The 18,856-nt window shown below is 42.4% G+C and overlaps 2 annotated features.

Moving 5' to 3' along the window:
- Positions 2,776-3,347: a transcriptional cis regulatory region, noted in NCBI's record as "candidate enhancer chr10.185 targeted for multiplex CRISPR interference". NCBI's record gives its function as "positively regulates AKR1C1 and AKR1C2 gene expression with high confidence in K562 cells {active_cell/tissue: K562}" and the evidence as "EXISTENCE:mutant phenotype evidence [ECO:0000015][PMID:30612741]".
- Positions 9,095-9,389: an enhancer, noted in NCBI's record as "tiled region #2775; HepG2 Activating DNase matched - State 5:Enh". NCBI's record gives its function as "activates a minimal TATA promoter and a strong SV40 promoter by Sharpr-MPRA in HepG2 cells {active_cell/tissue: HepG2}" and the evidence as "EXISTENCE:reporter gene assay evidence [ECO:0000049][PMID:27701403]".

Genomic DNA, 18,856 nt, shown 5'->3' on the forward strand with positions numbered 1-18,856 from the left:
AAGGGTTTTAGAATTAAGGAAAGTGTGAGAAAAAGTCAGAAAACTGGAGGTAAGAGCTCTAGGGAATGAGAGTTCAGTTCAGAACTGGAGTCCTGGGCTCTTTTGATGACTGAAATAAAAGTGGGAGAGAGCCTAAGGAAATTACCCTGGGGACATCATGGTGCCTTGTGGTGCTGAGGCTGTGAGCTTTGAAGTGGGCAGCTGAGGGCTTGGAGGCTTCTGAGAAACATTCAGACCTCCAGGACCCTCTCTTGAATTCTGACCCTGAAGAAGAGGTGTCCAAAGAGCGATAGACTCACCAAGACAGTGAAACTCGCTCTATTTAAGTCAGAGTCATCTGGAGAATGGATAGAATGGAGGACTTACGCATCTCTTTCAATAAAGTATGTTTCTTCTAAGTGTAACAGACATCATCATGCAAAGTAGGTTTAGGGTGAATGCCATGTCGCCTCTATTTTTCTCTTGCAACTTGGATATATCAGAATGAAAGCTGACAGAAAGAAGCAAGAAGTCAGGAGCTCACGTTCTGTGTTCTTCCCCGCGGAGATGAGGGCTCCTGATGAGTGATCAAACGCTAGAAGGGGGTGAAGAGTACCACATTATTACCAATGCCCAGGACAGATGCCAAGCTGGGCAGTGATGGCGTGCAGAAAAGCCTCAGGGGAAAGACACAGCAGAAGGGGAGAGGGAGCATTTCTGTCTTTGATTCCACACCTGGGAAGGAAGCAGAGTCAGGATTAGTGAACAATATTCAGAATTATGCTTAGTTGGATCCCTTCATGTAAGTTCTGAGAAACTGCTGGGTGATGCCCAGGCTGAAATATGTGCTGAGATCAGCAGCCTTCCCTTGAGCAAAGTAAAGGATTTTGTTTTTAACAACAAAACACATTTCTTGTGTACCCTGAGTGTTTCCCAGAGACTCTCATGACCTAGTGCTTACTATGGAGGAATGTTTTCATTCAGATGAAGGAAAGCTTTCCATCAATGCAAGCATTGTGACAAGTTGATAGCCATTGCAACCCAGCTGTCCCTCAGAATGAGTGTGTTCACTGGAGGAGGTGACAACATCTTCATCATATTAATGAAAGCAAATGTCTAGGTTTTTTAGCAAAAGCACGAACTCTGAAAGAAAGCATAGTTACACATTAACCAGCTTGCCCTGTAGCCCACTTCCATGTAACTTCTTACACTTTGGAATCATGTAGTCCCTATCACAAGGTCCTAACCTCATAGATAACATCTCAAACAGTAGGAAATCTCACGTTTTCCACTCGAGATATTTTCTGCATCATGCATTATAACAGTTCTACAGATGCCATCCAATCTACAGCCCCCTCCGAGGAACTGACTCAGCCCCACAATGCAGTTACCACATCCTTAGGCTTTCATAGTCCACACCCTGGCCAGTCAGCACCCCGCCCTGCTCCTCAGCCCCCTGCCTGCCAAAATTCCCTTGAAACCCCTGTCTAAAACTCCTCAGGGCAGTGAATTCGAAGTTTCCTCCTATCTCCTCATTTGTTTGCCTTCAAGTATTAAATCCCTTCTCTGCTCAACAGCCGCTATTTCTGTGTGTTGATCAGTTACTGTACAATGAGCACAAACACGGGGATCTTGTACAGAGGCTTGTCCTGTCAGGTTTCCACTGGAAAGCTGCCATAAGCCCAAGGAGAAAGTGAGGCACAGACAGCGTCTTCCTCAACTTCCTTCCAGAGGATCGCACTACACACCCAACAGCAGGCTCTCAGAAGTCTTAACATATAAAAACGTAGTAGATAGGTAAATAGACTTGCAGAAGGATAGGTTTTCCTCCCCTCAATTCTTAACATATTCACCCTCACTCATGCACATTCTCATGTACAGTTTCCCAGTTACCCTCCCTAATCAGATGCTCTTACCAAACTGTGTCCTGTGTCCGGCTGTGTGCAGTTGGGGGTGAAGGGAAGGGAGGAAGGAAAGACAAGAGACTTGGCCCTGATGGTCCTCAGTCGTGGGGAGACCAATCTTAGGCCATGCACTATTCCTTCATTGCCATTGTCAGGGCCATGTTTGCTACTTCTGGGACTGGGTTTTATTACTTTCCTTCACCTTTTCTGCTTTGCATGGGAAATGCAGATACCCATGTAGGCACAAAAGGGCATTTTCTTCCCTCTCTCTTCTGAAGTTTTGATAATTAGAGTGTATAAAACAAACTGACAAGTGAAAGGTTAATATAAAAAGACAGCAAATTTGTATATATGTACATGGACATCAGATTCCTGCCAATAAGAGACTCCAGGGTGGTCCTGATGACAGAGGGTTTCATCACATCCTGAGGCTACAGAGAGAACAGGGGCTTGGGGTCTCTGGGGGAGGTGGAGTCTCAGGTAATGGGGGAGTGGAAGAGGCACACATGGTGAGCCAAGGCTGTCCCCACATAGATGTGAGCCTCTCAGGGGCTCGCCAAGCTGACCTCAAGAAGGTAGGTGGCGGCCTGTGGAGAAGCTTCTCAGTCAGACCTTTAAAGTGTCAGGATCTTAGTCTGTTTTTCCTGGAAGTTAATCTTTCCTTGATCCAATAAGGCATATAAAGGGGTCCTCAGAGAAAGGCTTTTACCCTCTGTTCACTTCACTAATGTACATTTCCTCAGCACTTACAAATCTCTGCGAGAGAAGAAAGCTTTTCAGGTCTATTTGTGTGTCAGCAGCCTCTCTGAATTGTGACCCCTCTGAATAGCCACATAAAATATGCCAAAAAAGTACATTTTGAGTGGCACATTTTGCTTTCCTTCGCCCTGTATAACACGTCTTAAAAACAAGAGTGTACCATGAGGTCCACAGCCGGTGGCCCCACTCCTGCCTCCTGAACAAAAGCTTCAACAAAAGGGATAATTTAAAAATGAGCAGCTCTATTTCATGGGCCACTTTCCAACCACCTGGCACTAAAGTAAAAGACCGGTGCAACTCAGAACAGGTACAATGATCCAGGCTTGTGACTGGCAGGTCTAGAATGCCATAGAAGTCCCCTAGTCACTGTGAGTCAGCAAGATTTTCCAGAGAAGGAGGTTGGAGATAACACTATGGAATCACTTTTAGAGGATCACGCCTGGTGGATGTGAGTGCCTTATTGAGGGGTGGGGTAGAGCAGACTTTTCTGACACGTGAAAGCAAATGGGCCTGCTCCACCCTTCAGTGCAAACCAGCCATCTGAAGCTGCTCTTATTTAATCATAGGGAAACAGTCACTTGCTTCAGTAGAAAACATTTTCAACTTACTCTACTATCGCATAAAGCAAAGGCATACAGTTGAAACCACTTGTGCTTTTAACATTTCTGGACCCTCCTATACCTATGAATAAATTTAAATGACTTGCTTATTCCAAATGAAATCCCTATGTTATTTAGGAAACATGTTTAGGAAAATACTGGACTGGAGAGAAAAACAACTCACAAAGAGTCCTGTACTCTTCCGGTGACCTACTTCACATTTAGAAGTTTGGTTAGTTTTTATGCCAGTCAAAACATCCTGCCATGTAACTATGGAGCATGTTCAGTAAAATCAAATGTTTTGCCCACACAGACAATAAAAATGAACTTTAATGTTTTTTGCCTTGGTCTTCAAAAATGCACCCAAAGGAGAAACACTGCATTTCCCAAACAGGACAAAGTGATTTGGTGCCAATCTCTTAAGAATGAAGAATGAAGTGTTTAGCTAGTTTGAGAGTCAAGAAAAATTGAGAAATGCAGAACTCAAGTTTCACACTAGAATATCGTTGTTACAAGTAACAGGAGGAAAGAAAAACCCATAGTCTTGGCATTACCCATCATTTTTTAGGGAATTTTCTATACCTTCTCTGTATATTGATTTTTCAACCTTGGATGCCAAGAAGGTATAAAATCCCATGTCCAGGCATCAGTACACACCCTCTTCTCTCAATGAGAGAAAAATACCTAGGACTTGTGGGGATACAAGGAACCCTTTGGCCAAGTGATTAGTCTTTGGTCCTTAACACTCAGCCTAGTACATTTTGGGCTGGGAGAGGGGAGGTGGAAAAATGGGGAATATTAACCTCACGACTAAACAAACACTAATGTTCCTTAGTGGAAAAAAGGTTATCCTGTTGAACCAGCAAAATGACTAGAGGTTTCTGCAAACGGCTAGAGGTTTCTGCAGACATTCTAGTTCATCAAAATATTTTAATTAATTTTAATAATCTTAGCGAGGTGCTAAAAGAGGGACCCTAATGGGATGTGAGACAAACACAAAGAGATTTTAGTTTTATGAAAAGCAAACTCTATGACTTCACAAACTAGATTTTGTATTAAGGTCGCAATGTAGCCAAGTAATTCTGGGCATGACTGTTTAAAACAGGAATGTGAAACCAGAGAAAGGCAGCCCTCCTTTGGCTGGGCGATGGCATAGCAGACCAGGAACTTTCCCCCACATGGTGCTCTATACAGGACAGGGGTGAATCAGCTCAGCTACACCATGTGCCTTAGAGACTCTGAACATGAGACATGTGGAAAAAGACCCTAAAAAATAATTACAGGCAGAATGCAGGAAAAACAGCCAGATGGCCAGGCATGGTGGCTCATACCAGTAATTCCAGCACTTTGGGAGGCTGAGCCAGGAGGATCTCTTCAGCTCAGACCAATCTGGAAAACACCTTGAGAACTCATCTCTGCTAAAAAGAAAAAATTTTAAAAATTAGCTGGGTGTAGTGGCACCTGTCTGTAGTCTCAGCTACTTGGGAGGCTGAAGTAGAAGGATTGCTTGAACCCAGGAGGTCAAGGCTGCAGGGCATTGTGATTGCACCATTGCACTTAAATCTTGGCAAAATTTTTTACAGTGGCAACACAGGTTATGGGATGGAGAGAAGAACAAGCCTGGCTAGCAAAAGAGGTTTCATTATTTAGATGAAATCTCCCAGGAAGCAGCCCTCAGAGAGAACAGCTGAGAAATGTTTTTCTTTAGACCTTTAAAGGTATCAGATTCTCAGTTAATCTTTCTTCTATCCAAGGGAGATTCTCAGAGAAAGCCCAGCTGTAACAATGCAAATTTTCTCTACAGATGCAAGTATTTCCCACTAAAGACAGCTTTTTGTCCCTTCTAATATTTCCTGCTTTTCTGAATAGCTGTCTTGAAATGTGTCAAATAAATGTATTTTAGTGTAAAATGTTTTGGTTCCCTTGAAGCTCAACTTTGAGTCCAACTAAGACAAGAGGGGATTTATAACCATAGAGCACGGTGAGGTCAGAGGAGAAAAATTACTAAGAGAAAGCACCCAGAGATGAGGGTGGCAGCAGCAAGGCAGAAATTCTGGAATACCAAATGATATGGTTTGGCTCTGTGTCCCCACTGAAAAATCATGTCAAATTGTAATTCCCAGTGTTGGAGGAGGGGCCTAGTGGGAAGAGATTGAATCACGGGGGCTGACTTTCCTCTTACTGTTGTCATAATAGAATTCTCATAAGATCTGGTTGTTTGAAAGCATGTAGCACCTCCACCTTCTTTCTCTCTCTCTCTCTGCCTCTCTCTCTCTCTCTCTCTCTACCTCCCCCTCTCCTGCCAGCCAAGTGAAGACATGCTTGCTTCCCCTTCACCTTCCTCCATCATGGTAAGTTTCCTGAGGCCTCCCCTGCCATGCCTCCTGTGCAGCCTGCAGAACTGTGAGTCAATTAAACCTCTTTTCTTTGTAAATTACCCAGTCTCAGGTAGTTCTTTATAGTAGTGGGAGAATAAACTAATACCGAAAATTGGTACCAAATAGTGAGGCATTGATATAAAGATACCTGAAAATGTCAAAGCAAATTTGGAACTGGATAGTAGGCAGAGACTGGAAGAGTTTGGAGGGTTCAGAAGAAGATGGAAAGATGAAGGAAGGTTTTAAACTTCCTAGAGAATTGGATACTTCTGTAGAAAATGCTGATAGTGATATGGACAATGAAGTTCAGGCTGAGGATTTCTCAGATGGAGATGAGAAACTTATTGGGAACTGGAGTAAAGGTCACTCTTCCTGTGCTTTAGCAAAAAGATTGGCATCATCATGTCCCTACCCTAGAGATCTGTGGAACTTTGAACTTGAGCAAGATGATTTAGGGTACCTGACTGAAGAAATTTCTAAGTGTCAAAGGAAGCAAGATGTGTCCTGCCTGCCTCTAACAGCATATTCTCATATGCATGCCCAAAGAGATTATCTGACACTGGAAGTTACATTTAAAAGGGAAGCAGAACATAAAAGTTTGAATAACTTGAGCCCCACCATGTAGTAGAAAAGAAAAACTCATTTTCTGAGGAAGAATTCAAGCCAGCTGCAGAAATTTGCAAGATAAAGAAGAGCCAAATGTTAATAGACAAGACAATGGGGAAAATGCCTCCAGGATATTTCAAAGACCTTCAAGGTAGCCCCTTTTATCACAGACCTGGAGGTTTAGGAGAGAAAAATAATTTCATGGGCCAAGCCCAGGGCCCTACTGCTCTGTGAAGCCTTGGGACACGGCACCCTGCATACCAGCCACTTCAGCCCCAGCCATGGCTAAAAGGGCCTCAGACACATCTTGAGCTATTGTTTTAGAGGATGCTAGCCCCAGTGTGTTGTGACTTCCATGTAGTGTTAAGCCTGCAGGTTCTCAGAGTCCAAAAGTTGAGGTTTGGGAGCCTCTGCCTAGATTTCAGAGAACGTTTAAAAATGCATGAATATCCAGGAAGAAGGCTGCTGTGAAGATGGAACCCTTATGAAGCACCTCTGCTAGGGCAATGTGGAAGGGAAATATGGGGTTTGAGTTCCCACACAGAGTTCCCACTGGGGCACTGCCTAGTGGAGCTATGAGAAGAGGGCCACCATCCTCCAGAACCCAGAATGGTATATCCACTGAAGGCTTGTACTGTGTGCCTGGAAAAGCGGCAGACACTCAGTGCCAGCCAGTGAAAGCAGCCATGGGGCCTTTACCCTGTATAGCCACAGGGGTAGAGCTGCCCAGGACCCTGGGAGCCCACCTCTTGCATTAGTGTGGCCTTGATATGAGACATGGAGTCAAAAGAGATTATTTTGGAGCTTTGAAATTTATTGACTGCCTTTCCGGGTTTTGGACTTCTATGGGGCCTGTAGCCCCTTTGTTTGGGCCAGTTTCTCCCTTTTGGAACAGAAGCATTTATTCAGTACCCATACCCGTATTGTGTCTAGGAAGTAACTGACTTAGTTTTGATTTTATGGCTTATAGTTGAAAGGGACTTGCCTTGTCTCAGATGAGACTTTAGAATTGGACTTTTGATCTAATGTTGTAATAAGTTAAGACTTTCAGGGACTGTTAGGAAGGCATAATTGTCTTTTGAAATGTGAGAAGAATGTGAGATTTGGAAGGGGCTGGGGCGGAGTGATATGGTTTGGCTCTGTGTCCCTACCCAAATCACATGTGAAATTGTAGTTCCCACTGTTGGAAGAGGGGCCTGGTGGGAGGTGACTGAATCATGGAGGCTGACTTCTCTCTTGCTGTTCTCATCATATGGTTCTCATGAGATCTAGTTGTTTGAAAGTGTGTAGCACCTCCCTCTTCTCTATTTCTCTCCCTCCCTCTCTCTCTCTCTCTCTCCCCTGCCAGCAATGTGAATATGTGCTTGCTTCCCCTTTGCCTTCCTCCATGATTGTAAGTTTCCTGAGGCCTCCACAGCCATGCTTTCTGTACAGCCTGTGGAACTGTAAGTCAATTAAGCCTCTTTTCTTTGTAAATTACCCAGTCTCAGGTAGTTCTTTATAGCAGTGTGAGAATGCACTAATGCACAAGAATACAGTCACAGCAAAGTTTCCCTACTCTCATATTTCCTCAGTACTAATCAAATATGCCCATGCTCTGCTCTTGGCCCTCTATGGGAAGGTGGGGTTTTCAATGCCTTACATCATCTGGGGACCCAAGGCTGGAACTGCTCCCTCAGTGAATCACTGGGGGTGGAATTGAGATAGATAGGGGGTCCATATGCTTAGGACAGTGGATGTAATTGGGCTGTACCAATGAGGAGTCTGTGTAAGGGAGGGAAGTTCTGTGTCTACAGAAAACAGGGGAAAGTTATGTTACTACAGGTAGAAATTATGAGCCCCTGGGGACATCCAATATCAATCTTCTTTTACCTAATTTGGTACATAACTGTCAAGTATGTTTTCCTTTATACTGGAGAATAATGTTAAAAATGAAATCTCCTGCCAATCTAAAAAACTCCTCCATAAAAATGTAGAAAAGAAAGAAAATAATTTTCTTATTCAAAAGGCATTAAACCACACTGCAATGTGCACCACAGGTAAGGTCTAATGAGATTAAAAGGCAGAAATGAATCTGACCTCTTTAAAAAGCCAAGGAGTACAGCCTTTACACACATCTTCTCATGATAAATGATAACTGGTCCTCACATAAGAAGGCCTAACAACACTGTTTTTTGATAACATTCTTTCATGGCTTCATCCCAAATTCACCTGGTAATTGGGTTAGCCATCTGTGCTAGTCAATCACCTGTATCACTAGGAAAAATGACATTTCTCCATGACAAGCAGGCAGTTGTAGCTTGGAGCAAGGGACCCAGGGAGATAGGAATTTTCCTTTTTTAATGTTTACATTTCCAAAGAGCTGGCTCTCTTACCCTTAACAAAACACTCACATGTTGCAATTCTGGTAAGAGGCTTAGTTGGCTTTTAAAAATATTTACATGAATATCAAAGGGACTGAGGTAGGATTTACAAATACAATTTTTTCTCAAGGAAATAATCTAAGAAATGGGCAGAGAAGAAAAGTCTCTATCCTTGTTGGCAATAGAAAAAACTCAGTTTTAACAATTGACCCTTAGAGAAGTCTAGAAACTTGAACATCAAGCAAACATGATTTCTAAACAGAAGTCTTTAAGAAACATAATTACAGTTACATGATCTCCTTTATGAAGTGGATATTGACCTGATATTTTAATGATCAAATATAAGTGCTTATTTTGACTTATGCCAGAATTTGCTATGAAATTAATCATATTTTTAAACCTCTAATACTTAGCTTGCTGCTCAGTACTAGAAGCCAGAGGTAAGTGTCATATTAGTCAGCCTTCATTCTCACCTGACTGTAGATACTAACTATGAAAGCTAGAAAAAATTTCTGCTATTGCTAAAGTCGAACATAAACAAGGTTGAACACTGGTTAAAATGGTGACGATGGATTTTATTAGTAATCCAGTGTTGTAATAGGGAAGAGGTCCAGTATGGACTGAACTGAACTTTGATTCATACAAGGTGACTCACCATTTTAAGGGAGAACGGGTGAGAGGGAAAGGCTGAGCAGGGACTGAGTGGAATCAGCAAAGTGGAAAATTTCAAAAAACAGAAAGGGGCTGGTTGGCCAATGTGATTATTCCCTCTGGGTTTGCAAACAAGAGCTAATGGAAGTTGGGCTCCTGCCCTGACATGAGGATTCAAAGAATAGTGGCCTGTTTTCAGATCTTTAAACTATTTTATGATCTTTCCGTTGAAACTTTTTGTCAGTGTTAAGGGAAATGAGAGAAAGTACCCTATTTTCAGACATCTATGTTGATACATAACCAAGAGGTTAAAGGAAATAAACTAATGGTGCACCACTTGGAAAAAGTTTGTCCTGACTCCCAGGGAGAGAAAGAAAAGGAGCTAGAGAGTCAGCAGTTGTTAAATGTGCTTAACCCACTTGAAACTGGTGCCACATTACTTAGTCAAGAGGTGGAGGAACCACCATCCCTGGAGTATAAAGAGGCTGCAAACATAGTCTCTCCCTCCTGAACTAGGCAAGGCACTGATTTTGGCTGGAGATCTACCAAGCTGGGGCAGGGCAATTTCCCCTCTGACAATATCCCATGGGAATTAATCAGCAAGGGACTTCAGCTCGATATTATTGGGCATACAGGCCTTTTCCTACATCTGATGTACTGAATTGGAAAACTTCCAATCCTTTCTACAGGGAAGATCCTCAGAAGATGACTGAATTGTTTACCACTATTTTTGCCAGCCATCACCCTACTTAGGCTAATTTGCAAGCCCTCCTAAATATTATGCTTACTGCAGACAAGAGAAAGCAAGCATTAGGCAATGGAAAGGAGGAAGCATGGTGTCTTCATGAAAAAAGCCCAGATGATACCCCAGACCCTGATAAGATTCTACATGCTGACCCAAACTGGGTCCCAAGTGAGGAGGATGGGGCCTGGACAAATCATCTGGAGTATTCTAAAGGGTGATAGGTCAGGGGTGCCGAGACCTAAAAGTCTGAAAAAAGTGCAGGAGCTTCAGCAGAAGCCTAACAAGGATTCCCTCAGAGTTCATGGATGTATCTGTCAAACATATAGAAAGCATACAGACTTAGACCTGCAGGATCCTGAAAATGTCAGAATGATAAACATGACTTTTATAGAGCAAAATGCCCCAGACATCACAAAGAAGTTACAAAAGCTGGAGGGGAGCTATTGGAATGAACACTTCTCAATTAATTGACATTGTGTTCAAGGCCTTATAATAGCAGAGAAGCCAAGGAAACCAAGGCACTACTGAAGGCAGAGATACTCATAGCTGCCATGGGAGGAAACCTGAAGAGAAAGGAACCCCCAAGGTGGAAAGGGAAAGTAGAAAAAGATCAATGGGCTTACTGTAGGGTGACAGTGCTTTGGAAGAAAGACTGCCCCAAGCTGAGTCAGGGGGAGCCCAAGTCACTTATGGCTGTTAAGTTTGGAAAAAATCCAAGGAGGACCGAGGGTGCCCAAAGTTCCCAAAAGCTCCAACCCTGTCCAGCATTAGGATTTCACCACAGGACATTCGGGTAAAACTGACAGTAGGGAAACAAAAATTGGACTTCTTAATTGATACGGGTGATACTGACATCCCAAAGTGTGGACTTTCTGACACCTATGTCAATATGGTTGGGGTGAATGGAGAGCTAAAACTGGTTGGGGGGGGGGGGTTGTGACCCTTATCCTGCAAGGTGGGCAATGAGGTATTGATAATAGCTAATCAATTATTTTATGTGTGGGACTGCCCAACCTCTGTGCTTGGTAGAGATCTCTTGTGTAAGTTAGAGGCATTAATTGTCTTTGAACCAGAGAAACGTCCAATGTGCCTCCAGGTACCCCCAGAATCCAGATTGCAGCTACAGGCCCTCCTGATGAAATCAAAAACTCCACAGCTTGAAGTAGAGATGATTCCACCGGAAGTCCTCAATAAGGTAAAGCCGGAAGTATGGGCTTCCGACCAACTGGGGAGGACAATTAATGTGAATCCCATAAAAGTCAGGCTAAAGGAAGGTATCTGACCTGATTAAAATAAACAGTACCCCTAAAGAAAGAGACTCTAGAAGGCATACAGCCAGTACTGGTTCGATTCTTTTGACATGGCTTAATAAGACTTTGTCAGACCTTGTATAATACACCCATCCTGCCAGTAAAGAAGCCTCACTCACACAAGTACAGGTTTATGAAAGATCTAAGGGTGACCAATGATATCGTGGAAGACATCCACCCCACTGCGACCAATCCATACACTATGTTTACTTCCTTGCCCAGAGACCATGAATGGTCTACAGTGTTAGATTTACAGGATACTTTCTTTTCTATACCAGTGGACCCAGAAAGTCAATTATTATTCACTTTTGAGTGGACAGACCCTGAAACAGCTTGCACGATTTCAATACTGTTGGACAGTGCTTCCTCAAGGGTTTAAAAATTCCCCAACTGTATTTGGGGAAGCAGTGGCTCGGAACATAAGAGACTTACAGTTGGAAAATGGGACACTACTACAATATGTGGATGATCTGCTAATCTTAAGCCCCTCAAGGCAAGAGTGTCAAGATAACACTGTACAGACTCTAAACTATTTGGCAGCCTGTGGGTACAAAGTCTTGAGCAAAAAGGCACAGATATGCAAACAAACTGTAGAATACTTAAGATTTCTATTACAGAGAGGAACCAGAGCCCTGGCAGAGGAGAGGCCAAATGCAATTGCCTCTGCCGCAATGCCCAGAACCAGAAAGTAGTGGAGGGCCTTCCTGGGAATGCAGGGTTCTGTAGAATTTGGATTCCCAATTAGGCACTGGCAGTAAAGCCACTATATGAACTGTTAAAAGGGGCCAACCACGACCACTTTGTATGGGAAGTAAAACATCAGACTGCATTTGAACAACTAAAGCATAAGTTAACATCTGCCCCAGCTTTGGGACTGCCAAATTATCATAAACCCTTCCAACTTTATGTGCATGACAGACTGGGTCTAGCACTTGGGGTCCTAATGCAAAAATTTGCAACCAGTGGCTTATTTTTCAAAACAGCTTGATTCAGTGACAAAGGGCTGGCCCCGTTGTCTCAGCGCAGTAGCTGCCACCTGCCTGTTGCTCAAGGAAGCTAAGAGGATGACTTTAGGTCAGCCCATCACGATTTATGTGCCCCATGAAGTCCTGGAGTTATTAGAGCAGAAGGATGGCTACTGGCTAATGGTGGGCAGATTAGGCAAGTATCAGGCTATCCTCCTTAATGATCCTGAAGTAAACTACAGGCCAGCCACTGGAGCCTTAAACTCTGCCACTTAGTTGACACCTACTGGACAACCAAAGGAACTAGTACACAACTCCCTAGCGGTTATAGATCAAGAGTCTTCCAGTCAACCAGATCTGAAGGACACAGCCCTCCAGGGTAGAGACTGGATGCTCTTTGTGGACAGAAGCAGCCTGGTCACCAACAGAAGGAGGAATACTGTCTAGGCTATAGTGTCTCTCTCGGAGGTGATAGCTGCAAGAGCTCTCCCAACAGGGACTTCTGTGCAAAAGGCTGAGTAAATCGCCCTTATGAGAGCCTTGCAACTGACCAAAGGGAAGAGAACCAATATCTAAACTGATTCCAAATATTCTTTCATGATAGTCCATGCACACAGAGCTATTTGCAAGGAAAGGGGACTGCTAAACATGTGTAATACTAAAATTAAATATGCAGAGCCACGTTGGAGCTATTGGAGGTGGTGACAACCCCAAGGGAAATAGCTGTTAGGCATTGTCCATTGCCATCAGCACAGGAATTCCAATCTAGCTAGAGGGAACACTTTCACTGACTGCACAGCCAGGCACACAACCAACAGCAGTGCTGAGGTCCAGGCATCTTTAATTCCCCAAATAGATCTGACAGCTTTCAAATCCCAGTATCCTCTTGAGGATAAAAAGGCTACCAAGGACAGAGGATGTATTCAAGATAAGAAAGGTTGAAAACTAATTGATGAAGGCGTGGTTTGGATGCCGACACACCTTGTTCAACCAATGCCAAAATATACACATGATAGCATGCATTTCGGATGAGATGCCTCATTAACTTTCTTGCAAAAATATATAAAAGGAAAAGGCCTGAAGGCTCACTTGGAAAGTATAACACAACACTGAGACCTTTGTGCTGAAAACGAGCCCAGTAACCATAGCAGAGGACAGCCTGGACAATAGGAGAGAGGTTTTGCTTTGGAAAACTAAATTTCTAAATTGACTGGGGCATGTCTCAGATATTTGGGGCTCACAATACCTAAATAAATTAAAAGCAGAAACTAAAACATGTTTTTGAAGCAATGTTAGTATTCATGATAACCTTATTCATAATAATTTTATTCACAATAATCAAAAGGTGAAAATGCAAGTGAGCATCAGCAAATGAAAGGATAAACAGAGTTTTGTGTCTACACACAAAGGGACATTATTTAGTTTTAAAAAGGAAGGAAATTCAGATACGTGCAATAATATGGTTGAACCTTGAGGACATTTTACTAAGCTACATAAGCCAGACACAAAAGGACAAACACTGTATGACTCCAACTATGTGAGGTGCCTAGAATAATTAAATGCAAAGACAGGAAGTAGAATGGTGGTTGCCAGAGGATGAAATAAGGGGGAAATGGGAAATTGTTGTTTAGTCAGTAGAGTTTTAGTTTGGGATGATTAAAATTGTAGTATACGTATACTGGTGATGCTTGCTCAGTAAAGTGGATGGACTTAATGCCAATAAACTATACGTTTCAAAATGGTTAAATGATGAATTGTATATTATATATATTTTACCACACTAAAGAAAAGGTTTAATGACAAGTGACAAAGCCAAGATACATTGAAGATCTACACCCATTTCCTTCTTTCCTAGGCCCTGGAGAAATGCAGAGATGCAGGTTTAATGAAGTCCATCAGGGTGTCCAGTTTCAATCACTAACTGTTGGAACTGATCCTCAGACAAGCCAGGACTCAAGTACAAGCCCATCTACAACCAGATGAGCCCTTAGGGCCACTGGGGCCATTTCTGACTTTGTGCTCTTCACACACTTCCTTACATTAGAATAATGTAATTGTTCAGTATGTTGTGCTTTAATTTTTTAAGAGAATGTCAAAGGCTAGCCATGACACTGTTATGTGTATTTCTTTTAATTTAACTTTTCCATAAATATTAAATAATGTAATTGTTCAGAATTAGTATCAGAATTGTTTCATAAATATTAAATAAGTTAATTGTTCAGAATTAGAATTAAATAATGTAATTTAGGTCTCCAAAACTTTTTTAATTTTCAATATTTTTAACTTTTATTTTAAGTTGAGGGGTGCACGTGCAGGTTTTTTATAAAGGTAAACTCATGCCATGGGGGTTTGTTCTACAGCTTATTTTGTTACCCAGATATTAAGCTTAGTACTCATTAGTTATTTTCAACATCCTCTCCCTTGTCCCAATTTTGATAAATTGGTAAAGGCAACAGCCTGAATAGAGGTGCATTCAAAAAAGTGTAGGAAGAGAAGAATGATACAGAAGTGTAGAAAGTATTCAAAGAATGGGTTATAAATACACCTGACAATTGAGATGACAATTTTCTTTGAGATGGCAGAAAAAACAGCATGCCTATATGCTCTTAGGAAGAATCTAGTAGAAAGAGAAAAACTGATGATGCAGGAGAGAGAGGATCAGAATTGCTGAATCATGTTTGCATTCATTTCCTATTTCTGCTGTAAAAAAATATCACAAATGTTGTGGCCTGAAACACCATAATTAATTTTCTCACAGTTCATCAATTATGAAACATCATAATTTTCTCAAATTCCAATGAATTTGGAATCAGAATTCCAAAATCTGGTTCAACAGGCTAAAGTCAGGGTGTCCACAAGGTTGTATTTCTTCTTGAGGGTCTAGGGGAAAATGCTATTCTGGGCCATTCCAGGTTCCAGAGAATGTGTTCCTTGGCTCATGGCACTTATTCTATCTTGAAAGCCAACTACATGGCATCTTAGGATCTCTGTCCTATGCGTCTTTCCTTACACATCCTCTTTGATTGTGGCCCTCCTGGGTGCCACTTGTAAGGATTTTGAGATGACATTGCCTATCCAGATGATTCAGGAAACGCTTCTATCTTAGGATCCTTAACATAATCACATCTGCAAAGTTTGTTTTGCCAGGTCAGGTAACATAGTCACAGCTTCCAAAGATAAAGGCATGAGTTATTGGCAGGGCAGGGGGAGGGAGCAGTATTGAGCCTACTGTACTAGCTTTGTGGAGAACTTGAAGCAAGTAAGCCTTAATTTTCTAGCCTTGCTAATAGAAAGTACTATATCACCAGCCACTAGGTCCTGAAAAATCTAGATTTCATCTCAGATATAATGAAATAAAAACCTGTTCCTTAGCTCTGATATCATTTATACCCTATCATATGTCCCCTTCTAGTCATAGTCCCTTTATTCCCTTAGTTTACCATTTCTCCCAGGATTTGTGAATATCTTTTTTCACTGTACATGCAGAGAACTCCAGCATTGCTGTTCTTTACATTCTCAACAACTGAAAGTTTCTACTCATACTTAGATTATACTTCAGGCAACTACTTCTATGCTATAACTTATACAGACAAAGAAGTACTTATAACTGCTCTATGAACCTTTAACTTTAACACACTTCATACTAATGAAGCCTCTTACGCTTCGATTTTCACTACACATCAGTTCATCAAGTTCTTAATTCATTAAGGGTTTCGGTCATTGGGTCTCTCATGTTTCCTCTTTCCAAATTCATTAAGGGTTTCGGTCATTGGGTCTCTCGTGTTTCCTCTTTCCATTCTTTCAATCTCCACACAAGTTTACATATTCAGATTTGCTTACATAATAAAGTAAATTGAAATCCTCAGACTACACTCATTCTCTCTAAATTTCTCCTTTAGGTTTTCTGCTGGTTGGGGTCTCTTGTCCTTGTACCTATTGATCTGTGCTTATAGCAAACAAACTGGATCAATCTGCTTATAGCCAGAACAAATTGCCCTGATTGTATTTTTGTAGATCATCTAGCCAAAAGCTAAAATCCTACACCAGAGATTCTTATTCATTTGATCTGTAGAAAAGTTTAGGTATCACTATGTTTCCTTTATTTTGTTTTTGGATTTGTATAAAATTAAAGTTTACAAGTGCAGTTTGCTACATAGATATATTGCACAGTGGTGAGGTCTGGGCTTTTAGTGTAGCTATCACCTGAATAATGTCCATTGTACTTACCCAAAAATTTCCCAGCCTCCCAGCCTTCTGAGTCTCCACCAGTGGAAGACGGAGGATCCAGTGGGCAGATATCAAGTGCCTATAGGTGTGCCTAGGCATGGAGTTGGGAAACCTCTGCTCTTTGATGAATTTTAAAGAGGTTATTTGGGTTTTGTTGTAATTATTGTTGTTGGGTTGAGTTCCTTATAAATTCTGGATATCAGTCCCCTGTTAGATTCACAATTTGCAATTATTTTCCCCCATTGTATAGGTTGTCTGTTCTCTGTTGATTTTATTTTATTTTTTTTTGCCTTTACAGAAGCTTATTGGTTTAATTAAGTCATATGCGTCTCTTCCTATTCTCTCATTTGTGTTTTTGAAATCTTAGTCTGAGTTCCTTGCCAGGACCTACTTAAGAATTTTTTGCCCCAATAAGTTTTCCTTAGATTTTCTTCTAGCACTTGATAGTCTCAGGTCTTACATTTAAGACTGATTTATTTCCAGTTGTTTTAAAAGCTTGCAAAGCTATTTTGAGGCATAAGCAAGGTTGCAAATGTCTAACTTTTTGAAAATATCAATTTTTCATTATGGTTTAGGGGTTAGGATTGTATTATCACCAACATGCATTTTATGAGAAAAGCTTTGCTAAGGTCACTCATGTTTATTTCCTTGCCCTTGGCATGAGCTACAGTGGGAAGAGTGCTGCAACCCAGCCCTAGCCAACACCGCATGAGAGGGACTGTGCTGCAGGCTTCTGAGAAGGTATCTCTCACATCTAGAAAGAAGCTTTTAAGATGTGGCAGCCCCTCTTCTTAAAGTGGCTCTTGTCCTGTTGCCCTGGGAGTTCTAAAATTGCTGCAGCAGCCTCCACCCAGCCTGAGGATGACATCAATACATAGAGGAAGAAGAGTCAGGAAAAGATGAGAGAAGTTACAGACTCTCTTGGGCGACCCCGAGAGCTTACCATTCCTCAGACTTCTTCACATGGTGCTAACAGATTTGTATATGTAATGAGACAGTTTCCTGATTCCCCTTGGAGGACTTGCGAGGGGTGTGGCTCACCGGTTCAAACTGCTTGAGGGAGGGGGAGCATGGAGATGGGCAGGTGCACAGGCCAGGGCGAGCGCTTTGGGCTCTGGCTCCATGGTAGTGTCTAGTGGTGGGTGCCTGCAACCACAGTGTTGTAAAGCTCTTTCAGCTTTGCCATCTGCAGACGGCTTGAGTCTGCAGCTCCATGGACCCTCTGACTTATCTCAAAGGCAGAGGGCCAGTGTGACAGCTTTCTATATCCCAAGCTCTTGCCAGGCATCCCAGAAGAGTCAGATCACATGTGGGCTCAAAGGATGAGGGCAAGATTTTATTGAGTGGTGGAGGCAGCTCTCAGCAAGATGGATGGGGAGCCGGAATGGGGGAATGAGTAGGAAGGTGATCTTTCCTTGGAGTCAGGCTGCCCAGTGGCCGGACTCTTCTCCAATCCTCCTAGGCCAAATTCCTTTCAGTGTCCAATGTCCCTCCTCTTCTCTCTTTCTGTGTGTCATTGTTCTGCCGTCCATCTGGTTGCCTCCTTGTCTCTTCACCTGCTGGTCTGCCCAGGAACTTAGGTTTTGGGGGTTTTTATAGCAGCAGAATGGAGGTGTGGTGGGCCAAAAGGCAAATTTTCGGGGCATGAAAACTGAAATGCCTGTTCTCATTTAGGGGCACGGCTATCCAGGCTTGAAGGTGGGGCCTTTGCTGGGAAACCACCCTCTTCTACCCAGTATTTCCCTGTCTCCTGTCCATATCACATGGAGTTTAAACCATTCAGAAATAGGTTTTTCTCACCTGGTTTTATGCTAACCAAAACAACTATAATATTAATACTTTTCTCTTTACAACCTCCCCTGCTTGTTGACCTATCCAGGAGTGGTCGCAAGGTGTGCAAGCTGCTGAGTCACCCTGACTGCATCAACCCGAGTAGATTGTAGGGGTGAACAATAGTATCGAGAAATAGTAAAATAGCAAACAGTGCAGACAAGGCAGACGTCTCAAAAAGTGCTCAGTGGAATTGTCACTCATCCAGAGTCAACATTGGTGACACAGTTGTTTCTTCAAACAGAGTTCCCTCTATGAAAAAACTGAGCAAGGTGGAATTTACTTTAAATTTCATGGGTTGTGAAATTTCAACTAATGTCATAATTAAAACTTCCTACATATTGCCTTAGGCACCTCTGTCTTTTCCCCAAACTTTTCTCCAGGGCATCAGCAGCACCTCAGCCTCTTCCACAGCCTCCCAGCTCTTCCTTTTTCCTCCTGCACGGCTTTTGGCATCCCACCATTTTCCACAGCAATGCAGGCTAACTGTGAGCTTCCACAGCCTCTCACAGACATGACTTCACCCACAAGCCTCTGTGA

Source organism: Homo sapiens, chromosome 10 (genome assembly GCF_000001405.40).
Source record: "Homo sapiens chromosome 10, GRCh38.p14 Primary Assembly".
NCBI classification, from domain to species: domain Eukaryota; kingdom Metazoa; phylum Chordata; class Mammalia; order Primates; family Hominidae; genus Homo; species Homo sapiens.